Source organism: Homo sapiens, chromosome 10 (assembly GCF_000001405.40).
Source record: "Homo sapiens chromosome 10, GRCh38.p14 Primary Assembly".
Classification (NCBI taxonomy): domain Eukaryota; kingdom Metazoa; phylum Chordata; class Mammalia; order Primates; family Hominidae; genus Homo; species Homo sapiens.
Window position 1 is genome coordinate 26,929,073 of NC_000010.11, and position 14,427 is coordinate 26,943,499.

At 44.4% G+C, this 14,427-nt stretch overlaps 1 long non-coding RNA gene across 1 annotated transcript, besides 2 other annotated features; it reads right to left on the reverse strand.

The window, feature by feature from the left end:
- Positions 1-2,133: 2,133 nt before the first annotated feature.
- On the reverse strand, positions 2,134-12,929 carry FAM238C (family with sequence similarity 238 member C). Its single transcript, NR_026795.1, has 5 exons — positions 10,224-12,929; positions 7,665-7,914; positions 6,353-6,555; positions 5,341-5,444; positions 2,134-2,490 (listed from the first exon to the last, which is right to left on the reverse strand). It is a non-coding gene; the product is annotated as a family with sequence similarity 238 member C (long non-coding RNA).
- Positions 10,335-10,504: an enhancer, noted in NCBI's record as "experimental_11703 CRE fragment used in MPRA reporter constructs". NCBI's record gives its function as "activates a minimal promoter by MPRAs in K562 erythroleukemia cells, with activity observed for both the introgressed and non-introgressed 10:27228421 variant alleles {active_cell/tissue: K562}" and the evidence as "EXISTENCE:reporter gene assay evidence [ECO:0000049][PMID:34662402]".
- Positions 10,521-10,690: an enhancer, noted in NCBI's record as "experimental_11711 CRE fragment used in MPRA reporter constructs". NCBI's record gives its function as "activates a minimal promoter by MPRAs in K562 erythroleukemia cells, with activity observed for the introgressed 10:27228607 variant allele {active_cell/tissue: K562}" and the evidence as "EXISTENCE:reporter gene assay evidence [ECO:0000049][PMID:34662402]".
- Positions 12,930-14,427: the final 1,498 nt, after the last annotated feature.

Sequence of the window (14,427 nt, forward strand, 5' to 3'; positions counted from 1 at the left end):
TCATTCTCCTCTTTGAGGACCTACTGTAAAATCTTAGTTCATATTCTATCATGTGACAGATTAAATCATGTTTTCTGTAAACTCTACCAAACCCTGTGGGTTTTGCTGCAGTTGGCCTATTACATGGGTCTTTGCCCCAGTGGCAGCATTATAAAAGAAATTATGGATTTTCATAAGCTGTGATATAGCATTACTGCCCTATATCATTAATTATACAGTTCATAATATATTATTATCCTTGCACTTCCTCTCTAATGTCCAATTTCACCCCACTTTTTGCACTCCCCCCACCTCCAGTATCTCACTAAAATATTCATAAAGGAGCAAAGTTTGCTGCATTTTCAGGGTCAATCTAAATAATCCCACTCAGGTAGAGGTAGTTCTTGTAAAGACCTCTCAGCCAGACACCAAAGATTGTGTTCCACTTGAGTGAAAATCACAGGGTTGACGATTGTCATGAGAACCCTCTATTCATGGACTTGCCTGGTTCTATTTGTCAGGGTTTTCTTAACATGAGTGACCCCATTTTGATTCTGACAACTTTCACAGCTCTCTTCGCTGAACCTTTCCTGTATTGTCCCAGAGATCGGCATAATGACCATTATGTAGTCAGGTATCAGAAAAGCTGTGTCTTTCACATGGACGCAAAGAGGGGAACAACATACACTGGGGCCTGTTGTGGGGGGTTGAGGGGAGGGAGAGCATCAGGACAAATAGCTAACACATGCTGGGCCTCGTATTTAGGTGATGTGTTGATAGATGCAGCAAACCACCATGGCACATGTTTACCTATGTAACAAATCTGCATGTTCTGCACATGTATCCTGAACTTAAAGTAAAATAAAATTTAAAAAAAAATTAAAAAGAAAAGCCGTATTATTACTGTATCTGACATCAAAAGAACATGATATACTAAAACTGGAGTTACTGTTCCTGAGATAAAATTTAATGTAAAGCAAATTTACCTTCTATCCTATTTCAAGCATATGCTCAAAAAATTAAGAACACCTTGCCAGTTTTAATTACTAAATATTTTGGTTTTAAAACTAAATTTGTTTCATTTTAAATTTCCATTTAGCCTGCAGGGGTGTCCAATCTTTTGGCTTCCCTGGGACACACATAAGACCTACTAACACTCGTGATAGCTGATCAGCTAAAAAAAAAAATTGCAAAAAGATCTCATAATTTTTTTAAGAGAGAGTCTTGCCCTGTCGTCCAGGATTGAGTGCAGTAGCAAGATCTCAGCTCACTGCAGGCTCCACCTCCTGGGTTCAAAGGATTCTCCTCCTCAGCCTCTGGAGTTGCTGGGATTACAGGCATGCGTCACCGCACCTGGCTAATTTTTGTATTTTTAGTACAGATAGGGTTTTGCCATATTGGCCAAGCTGGTCTCGAACTCCTGATCTCAAGTGATCTGCCAGCCTTGGCCTCCCAATAGTGCTGGGATTACAAGTGTGAGTCACCGCGCCCTACAAAGAGCTTATAATGTTTTAATATTTGTTGGGCAGCATTCAAAGTTGTCCTGGGCCACGGGAGCCCGTGGGTTGAGACAGCATGATCTACAGCTTACTCTTCTCCAAATACTAAAACATACCATTAATTGCCTTCCTTAATTTTAAGAAAATAGCCTTTTAGCCCATCAGAAGCCAATTTGAAAGAGAAGAGATATAGGTAACAAGAGGCTAGGATAAGCTGGGCAGTAAATGTATCTCTGAGGGAAAACCTTCCAGATTGAAATACACAGCAATAAGATTGCTTTTACCTGGCCCTACATTCTTTTTTACAGGATACTAACAGCATTGTAATAATAGAGAATTCAAAAACTATCTAAAGACTATTTTTTTAAATTACTGTTATTCAAGCACTAAAAAAGCAAAACCAAAACAGCCTGTGTCCAGGGCTCCAATCAATCAAGCAACGGGAATCTCAGAGCAAGGGAACAGGCTCTGCTGGTCATATTTCCTCGTTTTTCTTTCTCGATTTTCCTGAAAATTCTGAAGGTCACAGAGGTAGAGATGAAAATCTAAGATCACCAAGACTTAAGAAGGCATGGGATGGTGAAAGCTATTTTTAATTATAGTATTGACCTCAAGATTGACTGACCCAATAATCCTTATAGAAATACTGTAGGAAGAACGTTTAACTTTTATTCATTTATTTTATTTATTTGCTGCTTCTGAACATTGATGCTTCGTGTCTCTTGCGGGGGTGGGGCATTAGGAGGCCTCTTGGCGACCGCGGGGGGAGGGAGCACGAAGTCCAGGGGCGGCGGGAGCTCTGGGTCGTCCAAGGGTGGTGGCTGTGGCGGCAGGAAGTAGTCTGGCAGGGAGGGGAAGCCCCTGCCGCCTGTGTTCTTGGCCTTGGAGGGGCGTGGCGGGGCTGCTGCTGGTATCCCTGGACCTCTGCACCAGAGGAGGCGGGGCAGGCTGGACTTGGGGCCGTGCGGGGCCCAGAGTGCTCCTGCCGGTTCCCGAGGGCTGGCTTCTTATCCTGCAAACAAGCGACGGCAGCATTCATTATTTTAAAATTTTCGAAATTTTAAATATATTGTTATTAATTAATGGAGACAGGGTCTCCCTCTGTCGCCCAGGCTGAGTGCAATGGCGCGATCTGGGCTCACTGCAGCCTCGATCTCCTGAGCTCAAGCGATCCTCCCGCCTCAGTCTTGTGAGTAGCATTCTTTATTCTTGACAAAACAGCCCCAGTGGACAGGACCATGCCATAGATAGGCGAGGTCTCTGTCTGCCCCCTGGGGAGCCTCCGTCCCTCAGTCACTGAGACCCCTGGTTGTTCATGAGCTCATCTTCACTCTGGAATAGGGAAATGACTCTAAATGGTCTTTAATATTATTATTATTATTATTATTATTGAGACGGAGTCTTGCTCTGTCACCCAGGCTGGAGTGCAGTGGCGCCATCTCGGTTCACTGCAACCTCTGCCTCCCGGGTTCAAGCGATTCTCCTGCCTCAGCCTCTCGAGTAGCTGGGACTACAGGTGCTGGCCACCACGTCCAGCTAATTTTTGTATTTTTAGTGGAGATGGGGTTTCACCATGTTGGTCAGGCTGGTCTTGAACTCCTGACCTCATGATCTGCCTGCCTCTGCCTCCCAAAGTGCTGGAATTACAGGCACGAGTCACCGCACCTGGCTTTTTTTTTGTGTGTGTGTGTGACAGGATCTCGCTGTGTCACCCAGGCTGGAGTGCAGTGGTGCAAGCTCGACTCACTGCAACCTCTGCTTCTAGGGCTCAGTGATCCTCATGCCTCAGCCTCCTGAGTTGCTGGGATGACAAGCATGTGCCACCATGCCCAGCTAATTTTTGTATTTTTTGTAGAGAGAGTTTTTTGCCATGTTGCTCAGGCTGGTCTCCAACTCCTGGGCTCAAGTGATCTGCCCACCTAGGCCTCCCAAATAACAGGTGTGAGCCACCTCACCCGGACAGTTTACCTTTTCTCAACTGCATGAAAGTTGGCTGGTTCACCGGGTATAAAATGAGCCCTGTAGTCCCTATTATGACCTGTGTCTCAGATTGTGATGAGATAAAATGAGATATATATATATATGAGTTCTAAAAAGAAAAATTATCAGCATGCTACTGGTAGAAACCAGAATGCTAAATTTGGCTAAAGTCTATTAGAGGCATAGCCCTTCCTCTGCCAATGCTGGAATACATTATAATAATTTGTATTTATATAATGAAACGTCCCCAGGCAGCTGGATTGAATCCCTCTGTTTTAGTGGTAATTATCATTCCAATTTACATTTCATCAGGGTTCCAGTTTATTTCTTCCTCTGCTTAATAGTTTCTTACCACTGAAGATTAAATCTGCAAATTTTTTTTCTAACAAAGTGCCTTGTGATTTAGTTTCTATTTTATTTAGTTTATTTACTTAGCATGATACGCTAATTAACTGGCGATGTACTTTTTCCTTTTTAAAAAATTTCTGAGCAGGTAGGTTGGGTATTGATGTTCACATATAGTTAAGTGATTTCTATTCTGGGATTCTTTTATTTCTTTCAGCATTTTTAAATGCTTTCCTTTGATTGGCATTGTAGAAATAATGAAAATAGTAATAGCTGACAGCACATTGCATGAGAAGCAGAGGCTTGAGAAGATAATGAGAACATTAAAGAAATACAACTTTTACAGGCCTGCAGTGGTTGTCAAAGTTATAAGAAGTTCAATAAATACTAAGATGTAATTGTTTTCACCACTGACTGATGGACAAAATGAAGGGGTGAAAGAAGTGAAAAATTGCTAAAGTGAAGCACCCTGCCTGTCCTAGCTGGGTAATATGCTATTGTCACAGTTATTTAAGGTTGTTTTGAATCACATGTGAGAAATACTCAACAGAATTTATACAGTCAACTGAGAGGTTTTGAACTAGATTAGTAACTAAATCATAATTATTAACTATGATTTTAAGATAGATTTAAGTGAATCCTCATTGACCTATTTGGTTGAAAAAATGCTGTGGAGGATGTCATACCTATTGGCTATTATTTTAAAATGTATTTTCTCCTCCATCACCCTGGGGATGTATGTAGGACATTAATGGGGAAAATAGACAATGCACATTTTTAGTGTAACCCTTTTTTATCTTTTTTTAAGACAAGGTCTTTAACTATCACGTAGGCTGGAGTGCAGTGGTGTGATCACAGCTCACTGCAGCCTTGAAATCCTGGGCTCAAGCAATTCAAACACCTCAGCCACCCAAGTAGCTAGGACCACAGGTGCACGCCACCACAGCTGGCTAATTTTTTAATTTCTTGTAAAGATGAGCCCTTGTTCTGTCGCTCAGGCTGGTCTGGAACTCCGGAGCTCAAGCAATTCTCCTGTTTCGGCCTCCCAAAGTACTGGGATTACAGGCGTAAGCCACCGTACCCGTACCCAACCTGTTTGCCTGTTTTCTCTCTCTCTCTCTCTCTCTCTCTTTTTTTTTTTTTTTTTTTTTTTTTTGAGATGAAGTCTCGCTCTGTCGCCCCAGGCTGGAGCGCAGTAACGGGATCTCGGCTCACTGCAAGCTCCACCTCCCGGGTTCATGCCATTCCTCGGCCTCAGCCTCCCAAGTAGCTAGGACTACAGGTTCCTACCACCGAGCCCGGCTAATTTTTTTTCTTTTTTTGTATTTTTAGTAGAGACGGGGTTACCCCATGGTCTCGATCTCCTGACCTCGTGATCCGCCCGCATCAGCCTCCCAAAGTGCTGGAATTATAGGCGTGAGCCACCGCGTGTTTTCTATTTTTAAAAGAGCAGTTATTGGAACAATGCGAATGGTTGAGAACATGGGCTTTGGGGGACGGCTGGATGGAATGTATGTCAGCTGCTTGCTGGTTTTACCTTCGATGTTTCAGCATGTGTTTGGGCCTTTTCCAGAACAGCACTGACAGAATGTGCAGCCTGGGGCATCTGTCCATTGGGCTTGGTGATGCCTTTTATAGGTCCTGAGAGGGAGGAAGTGAGAAAAGAAGAGTGAGCAAAGAATTTTCAACATTCTTGAAAGTTAATCTGAAAATACAAAGCAGTTTACATCTATAAAGCAAAGAAAGATACTTCCTGGCTACTTCTTACAAAAAATAAATAAATAAATAAAAACAAAGCAAAGAGAGCAATTCACAGGCATGACGTGGTACACAAAACCGTATGAAAAAGCTGAGGTTCTGTGACAAAACTTTATATGAGATTCAGCAAAAGATTCAGGAAGGTGAGTAGGGTATTTGATAAAGCCCACTGAGGAGGGTCTGGATTAACTGGGATTGTGGAGAGGAATAGTATGTTTTACTTTTGAAAACCTTTCAATAATTGAAGAATAAACCTTGAAAACCAATTTTCTTTCAAAAAAATTGTATTGTTGATTTCCTTAAAATGTATTTATCTAGTTTCATACCGTGCTGAGTGCAGGAACAATGTTTGAACATTGTTCTCAACAAAGAGTATATTAAGCTGAGTGCGGTGCCTCACGCCTCTAATCCCCGCACTTTGAGAGGCTGAGGCAGGCAGATCACGAGGTCAGGAGCTCGAGACCATCCTGGCCAACGTGGTGAAACCCTGTATCTACTAAAAATACAAAAATTAGCTGGGCGTGGTGGCACATGCCTGTAGTCCCAGCTACTCAGTAGGCTGAGGCACAAGTGTCGCTGAACCTGGGAGGCGGAGGTTGTAGCGAGCCGAGATCACGCAACTGCTCTCCAGCCTGGTGACAGGGTGAGACTCAGTCTCAACAACAGCAACAACAACAACAACAACAACGAAAGAGTACATTGGACACAGAAACAATGGAAATAATCTGGAATTAGATGTGAGTTTTTTTGTTTTCCCCAAAAGTCCTGGTATTACGATTTTATTTTCTTGCCTTTTTATTTGTCCTTTTGACACAAAGCTTGACTCATGGAAGGTCTGCAGTTGTTAGAGAATCAGACAGAGGAAGCTCTACGTTGATTTCTCGGCTCCTTAGAAAGGATCCCGCCAAGGATGGCCGCCTCTCCACACCGGGGCTGTTTCTCCTTCAAGTGAATTGCTGCCCAGCCCACACCAGAAGGTCTTCCGCTCCTCTCCCTGTGAATGCAGAGATGCTTTAGCCATGCTCAGCACCACTGTTCTATCTAATATTCACAAACTGCCTGTTTATTTCTTCAACTAGTTTTCCAGTAATTTGAGAAACCTATTAATCTACATGACAACTCAAAGAATGACTTCAGGAGATTAGGAAAAAAGCAAAAAAGAAGGCAGTGGGGAATATTTGGCTGGGTTCTGGTGGCTCATTCCTGTAATCACAGCCCTAGGGGAGGCCAAGGCAGGCGCATCACTTGAAGTCAGGAGTTCGAGAACAGACTGGCCAATTTGGTGAAACCCAGTCACGACTAAAAATACAAAAAATTTAGTTGGGCGTCGTGACCCACGCCTCTAATCCCAGGTACTCGGGAGGCTGAAGCAGGAGGACCACATGAACTCAGGAAGCAAGGGTTGCAGCGAGCTGACGTCACGACATAGCATTCCAGCCTGGGTGACAGAATGAGACTCAGTCTCAAAAAAAAGAATGATACCAGGGGAAAATGGTAGGAAGGGGGAGAAAGATAAGAGACTACAAATTGGATTCCGTGTGCACTGCTTGGGTGATTGGTTCACCAAAATCTCACAAATCTCCACTAAAGGAGTTAATAACTAAATACTACCTGTTTGCCAAAAATTTATGAAAAGAAAAATTAAAAATTTTTTTAAATTGTGACAATTGAGTGTCGTACTTTCAAGTTACAAAGGCACATCTATCATGAGGCTTAATTATTCTAATGTTTAAAGAAATGAAAAGAACAACCAGAGTTTAAATAGAAAAGCTGTCAGCATTTCATCTACAGCAATGAAATCTGTAGCATTCATTTTGTATTTTGAAACTTAGTTTTCAGCCAGCCTAGGGGAAGAAGAGGAGGAAACAGAACTGGGCATTGGGGTAGGTAGGAGGAAAGTAAGAAACCGGCTGGAAACAGCAGGGAAAGAAGAAGGGATCAGGACTCGAGGCAGAGCCAGTCCTCCTGGTTGGGGCCTGGGCATAGGAAAGCAAACTCTAGGCAGGAGGAAGGAGCCCCAGGCTGTGGATGCCTCTGGGGGAACTTGGGTCAGCAATGGCCAGAGGAGCTCCTGAACTTAAGCAGTATCTGCCGCCTCCCTACCTTTGGGTGTCTTCTGGTGGCCAATGTGCTGCTGTCAGGACTCTTGCTGGCTCCCAAATTCGACTGGGCAGCCTCCAAAGCAGTGGAGTCCAGCGCTACTGCTGCCTCTGCCTCGTGGATCTCAGAGCTGCAGGACAGCTTCACCCATCACACCCTCAGATAGCCCCACTTGTGGCTGGCATTGGGGGACAGCATGTTCTGGGCACCTCTGCTCCCGTATATCGCGGCCTGCATCTTCACAGTCTGCATGCTGGTAGACGTCAGAGCCACAGGCTGGCTCTGTGAACCCTTGTGCCAATTGGGGCTGGCTTTGGTGCATATGCAATAGTTCAGTGTGGGCCCCATGGGGCACCCCTACTCTTCTCAGGCAGCTTGGGTCTTCGCTTGCACCCAAGTCTGCAGGGCTCAACACCTATCGCCTCTTCCTGGCAAAAGCATGGCTGGCACGGGCAGCCCTGGGCCATGGGGTGGCACTGCGCTAGCAGCCTGCACCCCGTGTCACCCCCGTACTCTGAGCTGACTTGTCTGCTAAAAAAAAACCTGCCAACCTGTCTGGTTTATTTTAGAAGGGCCTGGATGCAACAAGCCTGAGAGCTGTGGCCTGGGGAGGAGAGAGCACAGATTCATCCTCCTTCCACCGCTGCCCAACAACTGAAAACCACCAACTGAGGACCACCAACTGAAGAGAAACAACTGAGGGTACCAACTGAGGGCACTAACCAAAGGCAACCAATGAGGACACCCACTGAAGGCCACCAAGTGAAAGCCAGTTGCCCTGCCAACCAGACTGTATCCTGGTTACAGGAAACAATCAGGCCCAGAATCCTTTGCATGTGTCCCCCCAACTTGGAATTCAGAGCTCAAGCATCAGGCTCTTAAGGCCCCGCCCTGCCAGTGGACTCGTCCCACCTCATTTATTGCTGGCTGCTGGGAGCTTTCAGGTTGCTCACTGTGATGAAGTTCCTAGGGATCATCACCTTACAATGAATTATGCTAAAATTACTGAAACCAAATCTGCTTCATGTACTATCTGGGATTCATAGAACCCCACTTTCCCCCATAACCTCTGAAATTTTTGCAAACTAAAAAAAGACAAATTTCTGCAGCTGCTTTCAGAAAAACACATTGCCATGAGCTATGCCTACACTATAATGACAAATCATATTTCATATATATGTACATATATATTCAATCCACACATATTCCATTTACATTTTTGAAAATAACACATGTATTCAATCAAATTAACAAGAGTAATAGAAGACATTTTCTAAAATATATACACTAAGTATATCACAGTTTTCTAGTGATCATTTTGATACAGCAACTTAGAATCTATGGCTTCAACACACAAAGAGGCTTACGTAAGAGAAAAGCACCACATAATTCAAGATTTGAAATGTGATCATCATTGCTACTTTTAACTGGCAATTACCCAGGAAATGTATTGTAAACTCCTTTGTGACTATGGCGACTCATTTAATCTTTGTGATCCTTGGTCTGATTTTCTCAAAAAGATGAGTAACACCATTTTATAAACTTGCTCTAAAAATTAAATGATAGAAAAATAATCCTTCTCTATATATTGAACACTAACAAAATTATAGGCATTGTGTCCAGATTTTTGCACACTTACCTTATCGAAGCCTCATAACAACCCTATCTTTTAAATTACAGGCATTTTGTCCACCCAAATTTTTACTCATTTAACTTACGGAAGCCTCATAAGAATCCCCTCTTTTATAGATAAGCAAAGTGAGGTTCTGAGGAGTTAAAAACACATTCATGATCACATCCTAATGAGTGTTGGAACTTGGATTCAACTCCAGTTCTCTCTGATGCCAAAGGTGGTGCAAACTTAATGAAGACCAAGTTATACCCAGTACATGGAGGGATCAAACATGTGAATTCCCTTTCTCTATCCTCTTATGTGTGAATTTCAATGGCTTTCACAGCCTCAGAACAATCCTAAACTCCCGCCCAGGTTGCCTTGCAGTCATTCCCTTCTTCTTGGAAATGCTGGGAATCTGCATATGTAGACCACAAGCATCTCCTTGGAAACAGGTTTGTTGATCAAGGAATGAAATTTTTGGCCTAGGATGGTGACTCACGCCTATAATCCCAGTACTTAGGGAAGCTAAGGTGAGCAGATCACCTGAGGTCAGGAGTTCGAGACCGGCCTGACCAACATGGTGAAACCCCATCTCTCCTAAAAAGAACAACATTGGTCAGGCCTGATGGCGCATGCCTCTAATCCCAGCTACACGGGAGGCTAAGGCAGGAGAATCGTTTGAACCCAGGAGGCAGAGGTTATAGTGACCTAAATTATAGGTATTGTGTCCAGATTTTACACACTTACCTTATAGAAGCCTCACAGAAACTCTCTCTTTTAAATTACAAACATTTTTGCCTTGGTTTTTACACACCTTATGGAAGCCTCATAACAATCACATCTTTTATAGATGAGAAAACTGAGGCTTTGGATGCCTCTGGGGGAAACGTGGGCCATCAGCAGCCAGAGGTGCTCCTGAATCTAAACAGTATCCGTCGCCTCCCTACCTTTCGGGGTCTTCTGGTGCCGCTGTCAGGACACTCACTGGCTCCCAAATTCGATTGGGCAGCCTCCAAAGCAGTGGGGTCCTGCGCTACTACCACCTCCACTTCGTGGATCTCAGAGCTGCAGGAAAGCTTCACCCACCGCACCCTGAGCTAGCCCAATTGCGGCTCGCAGTGGGGGAAAGCGTGTTCCGGGTGCTTCTGGTCCTGTATATCGCAGCTTGCGCCTTCGCTGTCTGCACACTCGTAGATGTCAGAGCCACAGGCTGGCTCTGCAGAACCCCTTTGCCAGCCCTGACTGGGGCTGGCTTTGGTGCACATGCGACAGTTCAGTGTGGGCCCCATGGGGCACCCCTGCTCTTCTCAGGCAGCTTGGGCCTTCCCTGGCCCCCACGACTGCAGAGCTCAACACCTATCGCCTCTTCCTGACAAAGGCATGGCTGGCACGGGCAGCCCTGGGCCATGAGGCGACACTGCACTAGCATCCCGCAACCCGCTTCACCCCTGTACCCTGAGCTGACTTGTCTGCTAAAAAAATCCTGCCACCTGTCTAGTTTATTTTAGAAGGGCCTGGAGGCAACAAGCCTGAGAGCTGTGACTGGGGGAGGAGAGAGCACAAATGGATTCATCCTCCTCCCACCACTGCCCAACAACCGAAGACCACCAACTGAGGACCGCCAACTGAAGAGAAACAACTGAGGGCACTAAACGAAGGCAACCAATGAGAACACCCACTGAAGGCCACCAAGTGAAGGCCAGTTGTCCTGCCAACCAGAACGCATCCTGGTTCTGGGGAAACAATCAGGGCCAGAATCTCCTGCATACATCCCCACAAACTTCGGACTTGAGAGCACAGGCACATGGCTCACAAGGCCTCGCCCTGCCAGCGGCCCCACCCCACCTTTCATTCATTGCTGGCTGCTGGGACCTTTCAGGTTTCTCATTGTGAAGAAGTTCCGAGGGATCATCACTTTACAATGAATGATGCTAAAATTACTGAAACCAAATGTGCCTCACGCAGTGTCTGACATTCATAGAACCCCCTTTCCCCCATAATCTCTGAAACACTAACAAACTGGAAATAAGAGTGATTTCTTCAGGTGCTTTCAGAAAAAAACATTGCCATGAACTAAGCCTACTCTATAATGTCCAGTCATATTTCATATATACACATACAAGTCCAATCAATATATATTCCATTTACGTTTTTGAAAATAACACATATTTGCAATCAAATTAACAAGACTAACGGAAGAAATTTTCTAAAATTTACACACTAACTACATCACATTTTTCTAATGATCGCTTTGGTAGAGCAACTTAGAATATATGGTTTCAAAACACCAAAAGGATTATGTAAGTGAAAACTACCACATAATACAAAATTTTCAATGTGATCATCATTGCTACTTTTAACTAGAAATTACACAAGGAACGCATTGTGAACTGCTGTGTGACTTTGATGATCTATTTATTCTTTCTGATCATTGATTTCATCGTCTAAGAAATATGAGTATCACCATTTTTATAAACTGGCTCTGAAAATTAGATGAGAGAATATAATCTCCTTCTCCATATACTGAACACTGAAAAAATCATAGGTATTGTGTCCAGATTTTTATACACTTACTTTATAGAAGCCTCATAGAAATCCTCTCTTTTAAGTTACAAGCATTTTGCCATGGTTTTTACACACTTACCTTACCGAAGCCTCATAACAAGCACATCGTTTACAGATGAGAAAACTGAGACTCTGGATGCCTCTGCAGGATTCTTGGGCCAGCAATGGCTAGAGGAGTTCCTAAACTTCAGCAGTATCTGTCACCTCCCTACCTTTGGGCGTCTCCTGGTGCTGCTGTCAGGTCCCTCACTGGCTCCCAAATTCAACTGGGCAGGTTCCATAGCAGTGGAGTCTGGCGCTAGGGCCACCACCACCTCGTGGATCTCAAAGCTGCAGGACAGCTTCACCCTCCGCATTCTGAGCAGACCCCACTTGCAACTGGCAGCAGGGGCAGCGTGTTCTGGGTGCCTCTGCTCCTGTATATCGCAGCCTGCGCCTTCGTTGTATGCACACTTGTAGACGTCAGAGCCACAGGCTGGCTCTGCAGAAACCTTGTGCCGGCCCTGACTGGGGCTGGCTTTGGTGCACATGCGACAGTTCAGTGTGGTCCCCATGGGGCACCCCTGCACTTCTCAGGCAGCTTGGGTGTTCGCTTGTCCCCAAGTCTGCAGAGCTCAACACCTATCGCCTCTTCCTGGCAAAGGCATGGCTGGCACGGGCACCCCTGGGCCATGGGGTGGCACTGCACTAGCAGCCTGCACCCTGTGTCACCCCTGTACCCTGAGCTGACTTGTCTGTTAAGAAAAACCTGCCAACCTGTCTGGTTTATTTTAGAAGGGCCCGGAGGCAGCAAGCCTGAGAGCTGTGACTGGGGGAGGAGAAAGCACAGTTTCATCCTCCTTCCACCATTGCCCTACAACTGAAGACCACCAACTGAGGACCACCACCTGAAGAGCGCCAACTGATGGTACCAACTGAGGGCACTATCTGAAGGCAACCAATGAGGACACCCACTGAAGGCCACCAAGTGAAGACCAGTTGCCCTGCCAACCAGACCACATCCTGGTTCAGAGGAAACAATCAGGTCCAGAATCCCCTGCATGCATCCCCACAAACTTGGCACTTGAGAGCACAGGCATATGGCTGACAAGGCCCCACCCTGCCAGCAGCCCCGCCCCACCTTTCATTCATTGCTCACTGCTGGGACCTTTCAGGTTTCTCATTGTGAAGCAGTTCCTAGGGATCATCACCTTACAATGAATGATGCTAAAATGACTGAAACCAAATCTGCCTCACGCAATCTCTGAAACATTAACAAACTAGAAATGAGAGAGATTTCTGCAGGTGCTTTCACAAAACAACATTGCCATGAGCTAAGCCTACTCTGTAATATGAAGTTATATTTCATATGTACACATATATATCCCATCCACATATATTCGATTTACATTTTTGAAAATGACACACATGTTCAATCAAATTAACAAGATTAACAGAAGAAAGTTTAGAAAATTTACACAGAAAGTACATCACATTTTTCTAATAATCATTTTGATAGAGCAGCTTAGAATCTATGCTTTCAACAAAGCAAGAAGCTTACGTAAGAGAAAACCACCACAAAACACGAGATTTTCAATGTGATCATCACTGCTACTGTTAACTAGAAATTACCCAGTAAATGTATTGTGAACTGCTTTGTGACTATGGTGATTTATTTAGTCTTTCTGATCATTTATTTGATTGTCTAAGAAATATGAGTATCCCCAATTTTACAAACTTGGTCTAAAAATTAATGGTCTAAAAAATGAGAGAAAGATAATCTTCCTCGTCCACCTATTGAACACTTACAAAATTGTAGACATTGTGTCCAGACTTTTACCCACTTACCTCATAGAAGCCTCATAATAACACTCTCTTTTAAATTACAAGCATTTTGCCATGGTTTTTACACACTTACCTTATGGAAGCCTCGTAACAATCATATCTTCTATAGATGAGCAAACTGCGCTCAGACGAGTTAAAAACACATTCACCATCACATCATAAAGAGTGATGGAAGTGGTATTCAAATCTAGTTTTCTCTGACACCAAAAATTGTGCGTGTTAAGGAGGACCAAGTTATACTCAGAACATAGAGGGATCAAAACATGTGGATTCTCTTTTCTACCCCCTCGTGTGTGAATTTCAATGCCTTGCACTGCCTCAGAGCAATCCTAAACTCCCTCCCAGGTTGCCTTGCTGTGGTTCCCTTTTCCTTGAGGATGATGAGGAATCTGCATATTTAGACCACAAGCATCACCTTTTAACAGGTGTGGTGATCACGAAATGAAATTTGCTAGGCCATATGTTACTAAGTGTGAATTGTCCAGCTTCTCTGCAATAAATAAAGGGGCTATTCCATGTAAAAAATCACATCATCCACTAAATTTGTGCAGAAAGATTTGGAACTATGCTGCAGGAGCATCTTACCGACAGCTGTGCAGGAAGACCAGCCAAAACACACAAAGCAGGAGCAGCTCCCAAGGCCAGGTGTGGTGGTTCTTGCCTGTCATCCCAACAAAGCGGGAGGCCAACGTGAGTGAATCACTTGAGGCCAGGGGTTTGAGACCAGCCTGGGCAACACAGTGAAACCCTGTCTCTACAAGA